The sequence below is a fragment of the Homo sapiens genome, chromosome 1, assembly GCF_000001405.40.
Source record: "Homo sapiens chromosome 1, GRCh38.p14 Primary Assembly".
Taxonomy (NCBI): Eukaryota; Metazoa; Chordata; class Mammalia; order Primates; family Hominidae; genus Homo; species Homo sapiens.
In genome coordinates, this window is record NC_000001.11 from 20,230,756 (window position 1) to 20,234,411 (window position 3,656).

The 3,656-nt window shown below is 43.7% G+C and overlaps 1 annotated feature.

Annotated features, from left to right (window-relative positions):
• Window positions 2,808–2,867: a silencer, noted in NCBI's record as "silent region_363". NCBI's record gives its function as "represses an Ori minimal core promoter by ATAC-STARR-seq in GM12878 lymphoblastoid cells {active_cell/tissue: GM12878}" and the evidence as "EXISTENCE:reporter gene assay evidence [ECO:0000049][PMID:35858748]".

A 3,656-nucleotide genomic window follows, 5' to 3' on the forward strand; every position in this document is an offset into this window, starting at 1 on the left:
ACGCACCAGTGCTCTTACGCAGGCTCCATTATCAAGCCTACTGAAGTCTGACACATTTCTCCCGTTTCCTCGAGAAATACCTCAATTCTGACTGTATCTTTGACCACTTATGTCTAACCTTGTGTACACTGTGTGACCACACTGAGCTTCAGTCCCACCTGGAAAATGGGTAGCACTGTGACTTTCAAAAGACAAACTCACAAACTCACAGCCCAGTTCCATCACTTACTAGTTGTACAACAACTCCCTGCAGGCTGGTTGCATGGCAGAGTTTCCTTTAGCAGGAAATGGGGGCCCGTACAATTATTTATGTGGTAGACAGACAGAGCATTAAGTAACATGGAATAGCAAGTGAGAACGTTGTTCTTTCCCCAGTTCTCTTTCAGTGGTTCAAGTTAAGGCAAGAAGAAATGCCTGTTTGGTTCTAGTGCACTATTTATTTGTTTATTTATTGATACGGAGTCTCACTCTGTCACCCAGGCTGGAGTGCAGTGGTGCAATCTTGGCTCGCTGCAACCTCTGCCTCCTGGGTTCAAGCAATTCTCTGGCCTTGGCCTCCCGAGTAGCTGGGATTACAGATGCCTGCCACCATGCCCAGCTAATTTTGATATTTTTGGTAGAGACAGGATTTTACCATGTTGGCCAGGCTGGTCTTGAACTCTTGACCTCAAAAGATCCACCCACCTTGGCCTCCCAAAGTGCTGGGATTACAGACACGAGCCACGGTGCCTGGCCCGGTTCTAGCACGCTTTAAAAAGCTAACACTTGTTAATCTTCCTTAAAGAGATCAGGCCTCAGGTCCAGAGTATTATCTAGTTGGAACTTGATAACACTGCTTTGTTTTAATTGTTTTTCTTTTCCTGGTCATCTCCTATTTGTGGTAGTTGATGCTGGCTTTCTATTTACAGTAGCAATAACAACTTGTCTTTTAGAAAATACATTTGTTTAAATAATAATGTTAGTCCATTTTAAAGAAAATTATTAAGTAAAATAATGGTTTAGGTGGCACACAGAAATGGCAAAACTTGTGAAGACAGAACACAAATGGCCAAATTTTTGTGAACACTGTTAAAAAGACTACAGACTGCATGCCAAATGCTTCATGTACACCAACCATATAGTGGGTACTCAATAGATATTAGCTCTTGTATTCTAATTTTTTTTATTATTAGCCTTGCAATTTAATGGCACAGCTCACTGCTGAAGTACCCAAGAGCTCCCATTTCTGTTTCATGGTGCTCTGGCACTAACACGGCATCTTTTCTAATAAAAGAAGAGTGTGGCTGGGCATGGTGGCTCATGCCTGTAATCCCAGTACTTTGGGAGGCCAAGGTGGGTGGATCATTTGAGACCAGGAGTTCAAGACCAACCTGGCCAACAACATGGTGAAACCCTGCCTCTACTAAAAATACAAAAATTAGCCAGGCATGATGGCAGGCTCCTATAATCCCAGCTACTCAGGAGGCTGAGGCAGGAGAATCGCTTGAACCCAGGAGGCAGAGGTTGCAGTAAGCCAAGACTGCGCCACTGCACTCCAGCCTGGGTGACAGAGCAAGACTCTGTCTCAAAAAAAAAAAAAGAAGAAGAGTTGAAGAAAAGGAAATCTATCGGGGGAACCAGCCCCCAGTATTTTAACATAGGGCTTTTCTATTTTCCCTAAGTGTCAGCCAGTCTAAGGAATAAAGAGAAAGAGTACAAAGAGAGAAATTTTACAGCTGGGCTTCCGGGGGTGACATCACATATTGGTAGGACCGTGATGATGACCCCAAGCGACAAAACCAGCAAGTTTTTATTAGGGATTTTAAAAGGGGAGGGGGTGTAAGAACAGGGAGTAGGTCACAAGGATCACATGCTTCAAAGGGCCATAAAGATCACAAGGCAAAGGCAAAATTAGAATTACTGATGAGGGTCTATGTCCCGCTGTGCATGTACTGTTTTGATAAACATCTTAACAGGAAACAGGGTTCGAGAGCAGAGAACCGGTCTGACTAGAATTTATCAGGCTGCAATTTCCCAATCCTTGTAAGCCTGAGGGTACTGCAGGAGACCAGGGTGTATTTCAGTCCTTATCTCAACCGCATAAGACAGACACTCCCAGAAGGATTGTCTATAGACCTATCCCCAGGAATGCATTCCTTCCCCAGGGTTATTCCTTCCTGGGAAAAGAATTCAGCGATATTTCTCCTACTCGCACGTCTGTTTATAGGCTTTCTGCAAGAAGAAAAATATGGTTCTCTTCTGCCTGACCCCGCAGGCAGTCAGACCTTATGGTTATCTTCCCTTGTTCCCTGAAAATCACTGTTATTCTGTTCCTTTTCAGGGTGCACTGATTTCATATTGTTCAAACACATGTTTTACAATCAGATTTCATTTTGTTCAAACACACATATTCTACAGTCAATTTGTACGATAGTGGTCCTGAGGTGACGTACATTCTCAGCTTACAAAGATAGCAGGATTAAGAGTTAAAGTAAAGACAGGCATAAGAAATTTTAAGAGTATTATTAGGGAAGTGATAAGTGTCCATGAAATCTTCACAATTTATGTCCTTCTGCCTCGGCTCCAGCCAGTCCCTCTGTTCGGGGTCCCTAACTTCCCCCAACAGAAATCAATTTCAAAAGATGAACTCACAGCCCAGTTCCATCACTTAATAGTTGTACAACTTTGGGTAAGTCAAGTAACCTGGCCAAGTTCAAACTCTCCATAATAGCTACCTTTATTAAACACTTATTACATGCCAAGCCACCTTGTTAAGGAACTTACATCAACCATCCCGTTTAAATCTCATAACAACCCTATAGAGGGCGCATTATTATCTTCATTATACAGATTAGGAACTAAAACTCAGTGAAGTCACTTGAGGGACTGCATGTCACACTGCTGGGGAATGGCAGCATCAGCATTCAAACCCAGTTCTTTCTGACTCCATACCTACCTCCCAGAGGTTGAAATGAGGATTAAAATATAGTAGAGAGGATGCACCTTCTGCATAATACGCATTTGATAAGTGGTTCTGCCTTAATACATTTAGAATATTCCTAAATATTCATAGTTCGTAGAGGCAATGAACGAATGTTAGTTTCTCAAACTGAGTTCAAAAGATGCACAAGAGGAAAGAAGGAGAAACCAGCTGCTGTTTAGGAAGAGTTGTCAGTGAACATCCGGCTCTCAGCATCTGCAGCAGGACTAGAGCTTGCATTCCCCCGGCAATTTGCCTTGCAGCGAGACAGCTAATGAGGTTGAGCAGAGTGGGTGTACACAGCACATCTGCTGCTGCCAACCACGTTGCACTTTAAATGCTCAAGACTGACAAACAGGGCATTGTGGGGAAGAATTACCCACTTCCAGCCCAGCACAGGGACCGACTTGCAAATGACAGGCTGCAGCACAGGCTGCACAATGCTGAGAAGCCAGAAGAGGTTGAGAGGCACTGATGAGGCTGGCAGAAAGCTGCAGTTAGAGCCATGAGTCCCCAAAGAGCAACAACAAAACAAACACAGTGCGACTAGGGAGAGTTGGGAATGGCGCAAATCACTCTGTTGTCTACACGTGACAAGAGCACCCTCAGAAGTAGATAACTGCCCTGATTTAAATGAAAAATAAGGTTCAGACTGCTGGTCCCACACTTCAGGTGCTTGTACTGTACAATCAATTAC